Below are 522 nucleotides of genomic sequence, written 5' to 3' on the forward strand. Positions count from 1 at the left end.
TGTACAGGCTCAGAACCTCCTATAGAAATGTACAGAGCACCCTCTAGTGTTCAACAGGAGACAGTGCCTTGCCCACAACAGAGAGCAGGGCCTAAATTGCCTTCCATAAAGCAATGGTCCGCACATGCCCATGGCTGGCTTTCTGGGACTGTCCTTAAGAGGCAGAGGTGGATGGTCTGGAGTGGGGTGCCCCTGTGACAGAGAACTCTGTACAGAATGTGACTCACAGGAAGGTGCTTGATGATGTGAGGTGAAAAGCAGCATCTGCTGCCTGTGGGGACAGGATCACCAGGGAGCAAGTAGGGCATAGGGATAAGAGTTTATTATGCTTCATTTTCATTTGGCGAGTCAGTGGGAAGGTGGTTGGTATATAATCAGATTGCAGTGGCAAGGAAACTTACCTCTGTTCTGTACATCTGAGGATCCGCACTCGAGAAGCTGATCCCAGAATACGCTATATTCCTATATGGCTCTGTATAGAGAATGTTGGGGCGGACAGCATCTGAAGTACATAGGTGCTGC

The 522-nt window shown here is 49.4% G+C and overlaps 1 annotated feature.

Annotated features, from left to right (window-relative positions):
- Positions 265-314: an enhancer, noted in NCBI's record as "active region_22093". NCBI's record gives its function as "activates an Ori minimal core promoter by ATAC-STARR-seq in GM12878 lymphoblastoid cells {active_cell/tissue: GM12878}" and the evidence as "EXISTENCE:reporter gene assay evidence [ECO:0000049][PMID:35858748]".

The sequence above is a fragment of the Homo sapiens genome, chromosome 4 (genome assembly GCF_000001405.40).
Source record: "Homo sapiens chromosome 4, GRCh38.p14 Primary Assembly".
Taxonomy (NCBI): Eukaryota; Metazoa; Chordata; class Mammalia; order Primates; family Hominidae; genus Homo; species Homo sapiens.